The sequence below is a fragment of the Homo sapiens genome, chromosome 17 (assembly GCF_000001405.40).
Source record: "Homo sapiens chromosome 17, GRCh38.p14 Primary Assembly".
Classification (NCBI taxonomy): domain Eukaryota; kingdom Metazoa; phylum Chordata; class Mammalia; order Primates; family Hominidae; genus Homo; species Homo sapiens.
The window spans coordinates 6222324-6236414 of record NC_000017.11 but is presented as its reverse complement, the minus strand read 5'-3'; the positions used below and the strand labels follow the sequence as shown (position 1 = coordinate 6236414).

General features: G+C 43.7%; 1 annotated feature.

Moving 5' to 3' along the window:
• Positions 12889-13089: a silencer, noted in NCBI's record as "peak2711 fragment used in MPRA reporter construct". NCBI's record gives its function as "represses an SCP1 promoter by STARR-seq MPRAs in K562 erythroleukemia cells {active_cell/tissue: K562}" and the evidence as "EXISTENCE:reporter gene assay evidence [ECO:0000049][PMID:32103011]".

The window sequence follows — 14091 nt, the reverse complement described above, 5'->3', positions numbered from 1 at the left end:
GGGGGTGGGGAGAGACAAGACGAGCACATTTGGTATTATGAAAATGTCTCACTACCTTAGGTGAATTCACAAACATAGCCTACCCCAAATCAATCTCAACAGTACTTCTCTGAACACAACTGATTCAGGAAAAACAAACGGATGAGGATTTCAAAGGGCAGTCTAAGAAAAAAGAGTAAATCCCACAGCCGAACCTGTTAGACATTAGAACGTTTTATAAAATAATAATTTAAAATAAATGATGTTGTGAAACCAGAGAGTATGGAAGAATTTTAATAGAGCTTCCCCCTTCCACTGAAATAGACTACAGATGGATGAAAGAGCTGAATTTATTTTTAAAAATAGAAAAGTTAGCAGAAAATGGAATATTTATTACCTCTACGAAGAAGGACCAGTGTCAGCTTTGAAGCAATAGAAGAAACCACAAAAGATAAAACAGACAGAAGACAGCAAAAACAAAACAAAAACTCCCATATGTCAAAAAAAAAATGTAATGAAATGCTAGATGGAAAAAGATAGTTGCACCAACTTTGATACAGGAAGAGTTGATAGCAATGTTACTTAAAGAGTTTATTAAAATGTATGAGAGAGAAAGTATTATGACCCAATAGATAAGTAGACAATACTTTTTTTTATTATACTTTAAGTTCTAGGGTACATGTGCACAACGTGCAGGTTTGTTACATATGTATACATGTGCCATGTTGGTGTGCTGCACCCATTAACTCGCCATTTACATTAGGTATATCTCCTAATGCTATCCCTCCCCCGTCCCTCCACCCCACAACACATTTAAGCAGGCTATTCACATGAGGGGCATCCAGTGTGTTAACAAACACCTGGGAAAATGTTTAGCCTTGCTAGTAATCAGAGCAATTAAAATTAAGCAGTCTTGAGGTGCTATTTGATGCTTACTAAAGTAGCAGAAACACCTACCTCCAAACAGACACGTGTCACAAGTCACCACGGCAAGATTAGGGGGTGGGATGTGGGATATGGATGGGGGCACAATGGGTTACTCTAAGTGAGCAATCTGCAATAAGAATCAAAAAATACTTATGTCCTGTGGCCCTCTGTCGGCCAGGCTGGAGTGTAATAGCATGATCTCTGCTCACTGCAGCCTCTGTCTCCTGGGCTCAAGCAATTCTCCTGCTTCAGCCTCCCGAGTAGCTGGGATTACAGGCATGTGCCACCACACCCAGCTACTTTTTGTATTTTTAGTAGAGACGGGGTTTCACTATGTTGGCCAGGCTGGTCTTGAACTCCTGACCTCAGGTAATCCGCTGCCTTGGCCTCCCAAAGTGCTGGGATTTACCTATTGGTTTACCTCTGGAAAGAAAAAATCCCTTTGAAGATGTTCAGTGTAGCCTTATTCAATAACAAAAACTCAGTAATCAGAGAAACATCTTCACTATTCCATTTTTTTACAGATATTACATTTAATCAAAACTGCATGGAAAAATGAAAAATATTTATTATGTATTGTTAAGTAGACAAAAAACCCCACCTGTAGATAAAAATCATGTACATATTATCATTCCAATGAAGAAAAATGTGTGTCTCTGTAGACGAGGACAAGAATTAGATACACAAAAATGAAAATAGCTTTGTTAGGGTTGGGATTTTGGGATGCCTTGCTGTTATTGTTGTTTTCATTTTTAAAAGTTGGGGCTGTGCAGAGTGGCTCTCACCTGTAATTCCAGCACTTTGGGAGGCGGAGGCAGGAGGATCACTTGAACCCAGGAGTTTGAGACCAGTCTGGACAACATAGCGAGACCCCATCTCTACAAATTAAAATATTAGCTGGGCATAGTGGCAACCCACTGTGGTCTCAACTACTCGGGAGGCTGAGGTGGCAGGATTGCTTAAGCCTGGGAGGTCAAGGTTGCAGTGAGCCAGGATCATGCCACTGCACTTCAGCCTGGGGGACAGAGTGAGACCCTGTCTAAAAATTAAATAAATAAAATAAAAAAAATTGGGAGGAAATCCTCCAAGGTTTGTAGGATCCACATCACAGGCACTTTCTCAACCAAAGTCCCTTTCCTGGCTGAAATCGGTGTCCCCTGGATCACTCTGGATGCCCCATTCTCTGGGTCTGGGCTCTGCCTGCCCCTATGAAACAAGGGCATGTCTACGCCCCTCTGAATGTGGACAACCAGCCCAGTAGCTTTCCAAGAGCTCCAGCAGAAGCTTCTCCCTCAGTACTTGAAGCAGCTTTGAGGCCTTTGAGACAGCCACCTCTACAGCACCAGGCCCCAGGTGGCAGAACCTGTCCTCCAGATAAATGATGACTGCAGAACCCCGATTAAGCAGCTTTGGTCTAGTTCCCAGGGCTGCCAGGACATCTCAGCAGTCAGGACTGAGACTACAACCCTACAGCCAGGAGACGAGCTTCCAGGGCTCAAACTAGAGGAGTCTGAGGTTCTGATCCAAACTCAGTTCCCTTCAAGTCCTGGCCAGGGGATGGGTACTGGAAGCTCCCGCAGGAGCCAGAAGACTGCCCACAGCTGTCCTGGGGAGCTAGGCCACCCCTGGAAGCCAAGCTACCTAGGCCCTGGGGCCTTGTCCGGAGAAGAACTCCACCCCTTCCTGCCCCATGTCTGCACCGGGGGCTCCAGACTGGGCTCTGAGGCCCCTCCACAACCCGCCCAGAGAGCTGCTTAAGAGTGTGTGTGTGTGTGTGTGTGTGTGTGTGTGTGTGTGTACATGTGAGGTTGCAATATGTGTGGGTATGCATGTGTGTGCAATGTGAGTGTCCAATATGTGTGTGTGCATGAGTGTGCAATATGTGTAGGTATGCATATGATGTGCAATCTGAGTGTCCAATATGTGTGTGCACATGTGAGTGTGCAATGTGTATGCATATGAGTGTGCAATGTGTGTCCAATATGTGTGTGCGCATATGAGTGTGCAGTATGTGTGCATGCATGTGAGTGTGCAATGTGTGTGCACATGAGTGTGCAATGTGAGTGTATATATCTGAGTGTGCAATGTGTGTGATGTGAGTGTGCAGTGTGTGTGTGTACACATGGGCGGACTCCTCTTACGCCTTCTCTCAGGCGTTCAGTGATCATCTCTGTTCTGGTTTCCATGGGGACTGTCTTTGGGTCTTGACCATTAACTTAGAGATGGTGGCCCTTGTTATTCTTTCCCCAAGAGCCTGTTTATAGGACCTGAGCACCCATTGCTGTGGATGGTAACTACAAGAATAAGGTAAAAACCACCAGCACTTGTTTACGGAATGCTTCCACACCAGCTTGCTCTCTGTGCCTGCCTTCATTCCTACAGAAGGACAATCTCAGCACCAAGCCAACCTCAATGATGAAATCAACTCTACCTGTGATTTCCACGGAAAATTTTGTCCCACCTGTTATGTCACGATTTTTCTAGGATTCACAAAGATTTGCAAGAACACAGGAAGGAGTCACGGAGCGGGGGGCTTGGCATGTTGCTGGAAATTTCCCAGTAGACCTGTTTCCTTGGCTGCAGCTCTTCTCTCTCCTGCAGGGTCGCCACCACTCTGGGCACATGAATCAAAGCACTCGCCTTCCCGAGGAGGGTCTCTTTCAGGCAGGGGTTCTCCTACCCCGCTGTCATGGCGATGTGGTTCGTTATCCCGGAAGCAAGGGGACCTCATTTCATTTATACTGTAATAAAACTCGTATTGATTTTAATAAAATTGAAAAATCTCTTTGTGGATGAAAACCCTGGGGCCCCACCCCGTAACTGCTGACTTACTGCATTTTCTGTACACCATGGACATGATGATTCATGCCTGGGCACCGCTGCGGTCGAGGGCTGATTTCCCCGGTAGAATAAATGTGAACTATAAAAAAGTTGCACATTTGAGTGCCTCCCAAGGGCTTTTGGTGGGTCCTGGCTGGGAGGGAGAAAATTTTTCCACTGGGGCGGTCAGAGCCACCAGAACAGCAAGGAGACAGCTTAGGGAAGGGACAGAGACAGCGGTTATCACTCCACTCATGACACCTCGGTCCCCAGCCCCTCTCCCTCTGCTGGAGAACCCGGCAGCTCATTCCTCACGATCAATGCCTTGTCTGGATCGCAGACTGCATGTCTCAAACTGAACTCCAGGTCCTCTGCACCGGAACACCCCCAGCTAGGTGCTCAAACGAGAAACCTGATGCTGGGATGCTGTCAGCTCTCAGCAACGGAGGTAGAATCGACAACTTGCTTAGTCATATCCCCTCCTCAGGGAGAATATTCACGATGTTCACAGGTTTCTACCCCATCACAATCTGGAGGGTCTGAAGGGCTTGTGATGAGCCAGACACTGTGCTAGGTACTTGGCCTGTATTACTGGGTTTATTGTGCAACAGAGGCGGGTTTGTCCTGCGAGGCCCAGAGAGGTTAGGAGGACTGTGACCACTCTGGTGTTGGGCAACTGGGCAGCCCGGCTCCAAAGCCAGGGGACTCCCCACAGTGCCCTGCCGCCTCTCAAGCCCATCTTTTCCACAGAAGGGCGCTTCCCCCTCTAAGCTGCAGACTCCCCCAGCAAAGGATTTCCTTGAGATAGGAGCTAGCTCCGGATATGCCGTCTTAAGGGAAATAAAAAGTTATTTTCATATTCCACTCATTCAGCAGGACATAATACATAGACTGAATAAAAATAGGAGACCAGGATCCAGCGTTAACATTACGAGGCCAGAGGCCAGGATGGGACTGCGGCATTCTCAGAATTGTGTTATGGGAGTGGGTGGCCTCCAGACAAGGCATCCGTGCCCTGGTGCCAGCTCTGGTGTAGACGCTCAGCCTGTTCCCCTTCTTGGAGCACCCCTCCTGCCCCACACAGGACTACAGGTGCGTATCACCGTGCCTGGCTAATTTTTGTATTTTTTATAGAAATGGGGTCTCCCTGTGTTGCCCTGGCTGGTCTCAAACTCCTGAGCTCAAGTGATCCTCCCACCTCAGACTCCTAAAGTGCTGGGATTACAGGTGTGAGCCACCGCACCCAGCCTCCTTTGTCAATTTTTAAATGTATACATCCATTCTTGATTTGTTTACTCATTCATATACTCATCCATTTATTCTTTTCTTTATTGAGGCACAATAAATAGTACACATTAAAGAGCACAGTTTGATAAGTTCTCTTTTTTTTTTGAGACGGACTTTTGCTCTTGTCACCCAGGCTGGAGCGCAGTGGCATGATCTCGGTTCACTACAACCTCTGCCTCCCAGGTTCAAGCAATTCTCCCACCTCAGCCTCCCGAGTAGCTGGAACTACAGGTATGTGCCACCACGCCCAGCTAATTTTTGTATTTTTGGTAGAGACAGGGTTTCACTGTGTTGGCCAGGCTGGTCTCGAAATCCTGACCTCACTCAGATTATCCACCCGCCTTGGACTCTCAAAGTGTTGGGATTACAGGCATAAGCCACCATGTCTGACCCTATGTTTAATTTTTTTAATTGAAATTTTTATTCAGGTAATTGTAGAATCACATGCAGTTTTAAGAAATAATATGGAGAGATCTCATGTAAGATCTTTTTAAGACTTTTTAAGCGATCTTAAGACCGTTTAAGACTTTTTAAGACTCATTTTTCTCCTATAATAACAATTTGTAAAATTATGGTACAATATCAAAGACTGGATATTGACATTGATCTAATTTATCAATATTATTCTGGTTTCCCCAGTTTTAGATGTACTAATTTGTGTGTCTGTGTGTGTATTTAGTTATACACAATTTTATCACATGTGGAGTTTCGATACCACTATAGCCAAGATCCTGAGCAATTCCATCGGAACCATGATCCCTGTCTTGTCTTTCCGTAAGTATAGATCCCTTCTCCTGTTCTTCCCCCATTCCTAACCCCAGGCAATCACTCATTTTTTCTCTATTTCTAAAACTTTGTCATTTCAAAAATGTAATATAAATGGAACCATGCAGTATATGCCCTCTTGGCGCTGGATCTTATCATTCATCATGATTTCCTGGAGATTCTTCCAAGATGTTGCCTATAATCAGTAATTCACTGCTTCTTTTTTTTAAAAAAAAAAAATTTCATTATTTTTTTTTTGAGATGGAATCTTACTCTGTTGCCCAGTCTGGAGTGCAGTGGCATGATCGTGGCTCACTGCAACCTCTGCCTTCCGGGTTCAAGTGATTCTCCTGCCTCAGCCTCCTGAGTAGCTGGGATTACAGGTGCATGCCACCACACCTGGCTAACTTTTGTATTTTTAGTAGATACGGGGTTTTGCTATGTTGGCCATGCTAGTCTCGAACTCCTGACCTCAGGTAATCTGCCCGCCTTGGCATCCCAAAGTGGTGGGATTACAGGTGTGAGCCACCATGCCCAGCCTCTTTTTTTTTTTTTTTTTTTTTAATAGAGATGGGGGCCACACTATGTTAACCAACTCCTGGCCTCAAGTAATCCTCCCATCTTGGCCTCCCAAAGTGCTGGGATTACAGGCGTGAGCCACTGCGAATTCACAGCTTTTTTTTTTCTTTTTCCTGAGATAGAGTCTGACTCTGTTGTCCAGGCTGGAGTGCAGTGGTGCGATCTCGGCTCATTGCAACCTCTGCCTCCCAGGTTCAAGCGATTGTCCTGCCTCAGCCTCCTGAGTAACTGGGATTACAGGTGTGAGCCACTGCACTCGGCCAAATTCACTGCTTTTTATTGTCCAGTGGAATTCCATGTTATAAATGTACCAGCTTGTTTTTCCACTCATCTGTTGAAGGACATCTGGGTTGATTGATTCCAGTTTTTGGCTGTTATGCATAAGGCTGCTGTGAACATGTATGTACAGGTTTCCGTGTGAACACATTTTCATTTCTCTGGGATAAATGTCTAAGAGTGCAATTGCTAGGTTGTGTGGTGGTTGCATGCTTAATTTTATAAGAAACTGCTACATTGTTTTCTAGGGTGGCTGTACTGTTTTACATTTCCACCAGCAATGCACGAGATAGCTAGTTTCTCCAGCTCCTTGCCAGCACTGGTGTTGGTCTGTATGAACTTTATATTTTGTCACTGTTTTTTAATTGTAGCCGTTGTGATGATGGATGTTTGGTGATATCTCACTGTGGTTTTAATTTGCATTTCCCCAATGGCTAATGATGGTGAACATCTTTTCATGTGCTCATTTGCTATCTATATATCTTCTTTGATGAAATGTCTAATAATGTCTTTTGTTCCTTTTCTAAGTGGATTGCGTATTTGTTTTTTACTGTAGAGTTTTGAAATTCTTTTATATATTATAGACAACAGTCCTTTCTTGAATACATTATGTGCAAAGACAGTATGTATCTTGTCTATTTATCCTTTAAACAAGGTCTTTCACAAAGCAAAAACTTTCAATTTTGGTGGAGTCCAACATAAATTTTTTCTGTATCAATTTTCTGTATCATGCTTCTGGTGTCAACTCCAACAATTTTTTTTTGCCTAGCCTTGTATTCTGCAGACTTTCTCCATTGTTTTCTAAAAGTCTTATAGTTCTGCATTTTACATTAAACCCCAAACTCGGCTGGGCGCGGTAGCTCACGCCTGTAATCCCAGCACTTTGAGAGGCCAAGGCGGGCAGATCACCTGAGGTCCGGAGTTCGAGACCAGCCTAACCAACATGAAGAAACCCCGTCTCTACTAAAAATACAAAATTAGCTGGGCATGGTGGCGCATGCCTGTAATCCCAGCTACTCTGGAGGCTGAGGTAGGAGAATGGTTTGAACCCGGGAGGCGGAGGTTGCTGTGAGCCGAGATTGCGCCATTGCAGTCCAGCCTGGGCAAGAAGAGCGAAACTCCATCTTAAAAAAAAAAAAAAAAAAAAAACCCAAACTCACCTCCATAAGTTTAGAGTTTATTTCTGTATAGACTTTATATTTTGTATATGATGAAGTTTAGGTTGAGGCTCAATATTTTGCCAATGCATGTCTTTTCTTCCCTGAATTGCTTCGGCACCTTTGTCACAAGTAAGTTGAGTATATTTTTGTGGGTCTATTTCTAGATTCTCTTTTCTGTTCCATTGATCTGTGTGTCTATCTCCTCACCCATACCACGTTATCCTGATTACTATAACAATAATATTGAATAGAGTAATCTCTCCCACTCTATTCTTTTTTTTTTTTTTTTTTTGAGACAGAGGCTGGAGTGCACTGGCACAATCTCAGCTCACCGCAAGCTCCACCTCCTGCGTTCAGGCCATTCACCTGCCTCAGCCTCCCAAGTAGCTGGGACTACAGGTCCCACCATGCCTAGCTAATTTTTTGTATTTGTAGTAGAGACGGGTTTTTAGTATTTTTATGTTAGCCAGGATGGTCTCAATCTCCTGACCTCATGATCCGCCTGCCTCGGCCTCCCAAAGTGCTGGGATTACAGGTGTGAGCCACCGCGCCCGGCCCACTCTATTCTTCTTTAGAAGACTTTTAGCTATTTTAGAATCTGTGCCTTTTCAAATAAATTTTAGAATAAGCTTGTCTATGTCCACTAAAACCTTGCTGGGATTTCAATGGAAATTGCATTAAACCTGTAGAACAATGCAGGGAGAATGAATACCTTTAAGATGCCGAATTTTCTAATACATGAACACAGCATCTCTGTTTATTTAGATTTTCTTTGATGTCTTTCATCAGGATTTTGTAATTTTTCATATACAGATTCTGTACATGTTTTGTTTAATATATACCTAAGTGTTTCATTATCTTCGAAGTAGTTGTAAATGACATTATGCTTTTAATTTCAGTTTCTGTGTATTCATTGTTTTTTTTTTTTTTTTATTTCATCCCTGGATACTTTATTATAAATCTCAATGACTTTAAACATAAACTACAATGTCATTATCATACCTAACAATGTTTCTTAATATCTTATGTCTACTCCACGTTCAAAGTTTGCCAGGTGCTTAAAAATTTTTATTGTTAATTCGCTTAAATCAGTATCCACACAGAGTCTATACATTGCATATTTTTGGTCTTGTTTCAGTTTTTTAAAGTATCTTTTAATTTTTAAAGAAAGACCCCTTTCTTTTTTTAAATGCCATTTGTTTATTGACTAAAGTAGTTCATTTGTTATATAGAATTTCCCATATTCTGAATTTGGTTAATTGTTTCCTAGTGGTGGTTGACTTATTCTTAAAACTTTTTTTTTCAGGAACACTTCCTAATGGTCCTTCCTGTTGCATCATATCAGGAGGTCCATAACGTCTGGTCATCCACTTTTAGTGATTGGAATAAGTAGTTGTTAATTTTTTTTTAATTGTTCCATGGAATAGGGCATTTTCGTTCTATCTTTCTCTTTGGCATTGGCTGTTTTCTTTTTTTTTTTTTTTAATTTAAATGTGGTATGTTTATTCAGTTCTTTTTTTTTTATTTTTATTTTTTTATTTTTTTTTATTGATCATTCTTGGGTGTTTCTCGCAGAGGGGGATTTGGCAGGGTCATAGGACAATAGTGGAGGGAAGGTCAGCAGATAAACAAGTGAACAAAGGTCTCTGGTTTTCCTAGGCAGAGGACCCTGCGCCCTCCGCAGTGTTTGTGTCCCTGGGTACTTGAGATTAGGGAGTGGCGATGACTCTTAACGAGCATGCTGCCTTCAAGCATCTGTTTAACAAAGCACATCTTGCACCGCCCTTAATCCATTTAACCCTGAGTGGACACAGCACATGTTTCAGAGAGCACAGGGTTGGGGGTAAGGTCACAGATCAACAGGATCCCAAGGCAGAAGAATTTTTCTTAGTACAGAACAAAATGAAAAGTCTCCCATGTCTACTTCTTTCTACACAGACACGGCAACCATCCGATTTCTCAATCTCTTCCCCACCTTTCCCCCCTTTCTATTCCACAAAGCCGCCATTGTCGTCCTGGCCCGTTCTCAATGAGCTGTTGGGCACACCTCCCAGACGGGGTGGTGGCCGGGCAGAGGGGCTCCTCACTTCCCAGTAGGGGCGGCCGGGCAGAGGCGCCCCTCACCTCCCGGACGGGGCGGCTGGCCGGGCGGGGGGCTGACCCCCACCTCCCTCCCGGACGGGGTGGCTGCCGGGCGGAGACGCTCCTCACTTCCCAGACGGGGTGGCTGCCAGGCGGAGGGGCTCCTCACTTCTCAGATGGGGCGGTTGCCAGGCAGAGGGTCTCCTCACTTCTCAGATGGGGCGGCCGGGCAGAGACGCTCCTCACCTCCCAGACGGGGTCGCGGCCGGGCAGAGGCGCTCCTCACATCCCAGATGGGGCGGCGGGGCAGAGGCGCTCCCCACATCTCAGACGATGGGCGGCTGAGCAGAGACGCTCCTCACTTCCTAGATGGGATGGTGGCCGGGAAGAGGCGCTCCTCACTTCCTAGATGGGATGGCGGCTGGGCAGAGACGCTCCTCATATCCCAGACGGGGTGGCGGCCGGGCAGAGGCTGCAATCTCGGCACTTTGGGAGGCCAAGGCAGGCGGCTGGGAGGTAGAGGTTGTAGCTAGCCGAGATCACGCCACTGCACTCCAGCCTGGGCACCATTGAGCACTGAGTGAACGAGACTCTGTCTGCAATCCTGGCACCTCGGGAGGCCGAGGCTGGTGGATCACTCCGGTTAGGAGCTGGAGACCAGCCCGGCCAACACAGCGAAACCCCGTCTCCACCAAAAAAATACGAAAACCAGTCAGGTGTGGTGGCGCGCGCCTGCAATCGCAGGCACTCGGCAGGCTGAGGCAGGAGAATCAGGCAGGGAGGTTGCAGTGAGTTGAGATGGCAGCAGTACAGTCCAGCTTCGGCTCGGCATCAGAGGGAGACCGTGGAAAGAGAGGGAGACCGTGGGGAGAGGGAGACCGTGGGGAGAAGGAGAGGGAGCGGGAGCGGGAGCGGGAGCTGGCTGTTTTCATTGATAAAATAGTTATAATTTTTTTTTTTTTTTTTTTGAGACGGAATCTCGCTCTGTCACCCAGGCTGGAGTGCAGTGGCGCCATCTTGGCTCACTGCAACATCCACCTCCCGGGTTCAAGCGATTCTCCTCATTGTTAATATATAAAGATGCAATCGGTCTTTGTGTTTTGATCTTTTATCCTGCAAACTTGCTGAACTCCTTTATTGATTCTAGAGTATTTTTGTTGCTTCCTTGAGCTTTTGTACATACATAATCATGTCATCTGCAAATAGAGGCAGTTTTACCTCTTCCATTGCAACCTGTATGTCTTTTGTATGTTTTTCTTTTCCTGCCTTATGCAGTATCTAGAACTAGTGCTATGTCAAATCAGAGAGGTGAGAAAAGACATTCTTTTCTTGTTCCTGTATCTTAGGGAGAAAGTATAATGTCTTTAACCATTAATTATTACGTTAGCTATCGGGTTTCTTCATAGAGGTTTTCATCAAGTTCCTAACTTTTGGGGTCTTAAAAAAATTAAGAATGAGTGTTGGATTTTCTCAAATGCTTTTTCTGAATTAATTGATATGATTACGCAGTTTTTCTTCTTTATCTTGTTAATAGGGCAGATTATATTGATTATTTATTTATTTATTCATTTTTCTTTTAAGACAGGATCTCCCTCTGTTGCCTACACTGGAGTGCATGGCTCATTGCAACCTCCACCTCCCAGGCTCAAGCAACCTCCCACCTCAGCCTCCCAAGTAGCTGGGACTCCAGGCATGCACCATCACGCATTGCTAATTTTTTTGTATTTTTTGTAGAGATGAGGTTTTGCCACGTTGCCCAGGCTGGTCTCAAACTCCTGAGCTCAAGCAAACTGCCTGCCTCGGCCTCCCAAAGTACTGGAATTGCAGGCATGAGCCACTGCACCTGGCCTATTGATTGATATTTCAAATGTTAAACCAACCTTTCACACCTGGGATAAATACCACTTGGTCATAACTTATAATGACCTTCATACATTTTTAGGTTGACCTTGCTAATACTTTGTTGAAAATTTTTGCATCAAATTCATGAGAGATATTAGTCTGGTGTTTTTTTTTTTTTTTTTTTTTTTTTTTTGGGTTTCCCTGCGTTGGACAGGCTAGTCTTGAACTCCCAACCTCGTGATCCACCCACCTCGGCCTCCCAAAGTGCTGGGATTACAAGCATGAGCCACCACCGCACCTGGCCCCTATTTCACTCTTGATATTGGTGATTTGTGTTTTCTTTCATTTTTGTCAATCTTTCTAAAGATTTGCAAATTTTATTGATGTTTTTGAAGAAGCAGATTTTTCTCTATTGTTTTCCTGTTTTTGATTTCATTGAGTTCTGCTGTAATCTTTATTTCCTCTCTTATTCCTGCTCTGAGTTTATTTTGCTCTTTTTTTTCCCCCCAAGTTTCTTGAGGTAGCAACTTATATTATTGATTTGAGGTTTTTCCTTTTTTTTTTTTTTTTTTTTTTTTTTTGACAGAGTCCTGCTCTGTCGCCAGGCTGGAGTGCAGTAGCACGATCTTGGCTCACTGCAACCTCTGCCTCCTGGGTTCAAGCGATTCTCCTGCCTCAGCCTCCTGAGTAGCTGGGATTACAGGCAGGCACCACCACGCCCAGCTAATTTTTGTATTTTTAGTAGAGACAGGGTTTCACCATGTTAGCCATGCTGGTCTTGATCTCTTCACCTTGTGATCCACCCGTCTCGGCCTCCCAAAGTGCTGAGATTCCAGGTGTGAGCCACTGCGCCCGGCTGTTTTTCCTCATTTCTTGTGTAAGCATTCAGTGCCATTAAATTCCCTCTCAGGGCTGCTTTATCTGCATTCCACATATTTTGTTGTGTTGTATTTTTATTTTCATTTAGTCTATTGAGACTTCTTTGTCTTATAGATTATTGAGAAGTTTAAATTATTTTAATTTCCACCTATTTAGAGATTTTCCTGTTACAATTCTGTCGTATTTAAGGCTCCCGGCCTTAAATAACCTTTTAAAACTGAGATTTGTTTTTGTTTTTGTTTTCTCATTTGTTTCAAGAGAATTTGTAATTTACCATTGATGGATCTTTGTGATGGCTCCTTTAAAATCCTTGTCAGAGAATCCTGCCATATGACTCATCTCACTGTTGGCATCAGTTGGTTGTCTTTTCTTACTCAAATTGTGGTTTTTGTGGTTCTTGGTGGGATGAGTCATTTTTGGTTATAGCCTGCACATGTCATCATTTATGTTAGGAGACACTGGGTGGTATTTGAATTTTTTATTTTAACAGGTGCCACTCTGTTTAGGATTAGCATGCTGGTCCTAACTTACTATATATATATATATATATATATATATATATATATTTTTTTTTTTTTTTTTTTTTTTTACTTTAAGTTCTAGGGTACATGTGCACAATGTGCAGGTTTGTTACATATGTATACATGTGCCATGTTGGTGTCCTGCGCCCACTAACTCGTCATTTACATTAGGTATATCTCCTAATGCTATCCCTCCCCCCTCCCCCCAACTCAGCAAACTATTGCAAGGACAAAAAAACAAACACCGCATGTTCTTACTCATAGGTGGGAACTGAACAATGAGAACATTTGGACACAGGAAGGGGGACATCACACACTGGGTCCTAACTTACTTTTTGTGGGATACAGTTCCAGTGATGGTTTAACTTTCAGAACTTCTGTGGTGTTATTTTGGTCGGTTTGGTTTATTTGGTCCTGCTATTGCTCCCACTAGTTCCTGCTAAAGCTGTCTTCCACTGTCAGCGGAAGCCTTCTTGTTGTATATTCACATAGCAAAGAGAGAGAGTGAGCTCTGGTCTCTTCCTCTTTCAGCTGATAAGGGCACTAATCTTATTATGGGGGCCCCATCCTCACGATCTCATCTTAACCTAATCACTTCCTAAAGACTTCATCTCCAAATACCATCACATTGGGGATTAAGGCTTCAAAATATAAATTTTAAGGAACACAAACATTCATAATATGGTGCAAGAGAAACATCAAAGTTCATTTTTTTGCACATGTACATCCAATTGTTCTAGCACTGCTTGTTAAAAAGACTATCCTTTATCCATTGAATTGCTTTTGCACGTTTGTCAAAATTCAATTATCCGTATGTGTGTTCACTTATTTTTGGATTCTGTATTCTGTTCTGTTGATCTGTTTGTAACACCATAGTGTGTTGATGGCTGTAGCTTTATAATAACTCTTGAAATTAGAAAATATTAGCCCTCCAACTTTGTTCTTCATTTTCAAAGTTGTTTTGACCCCCCCAC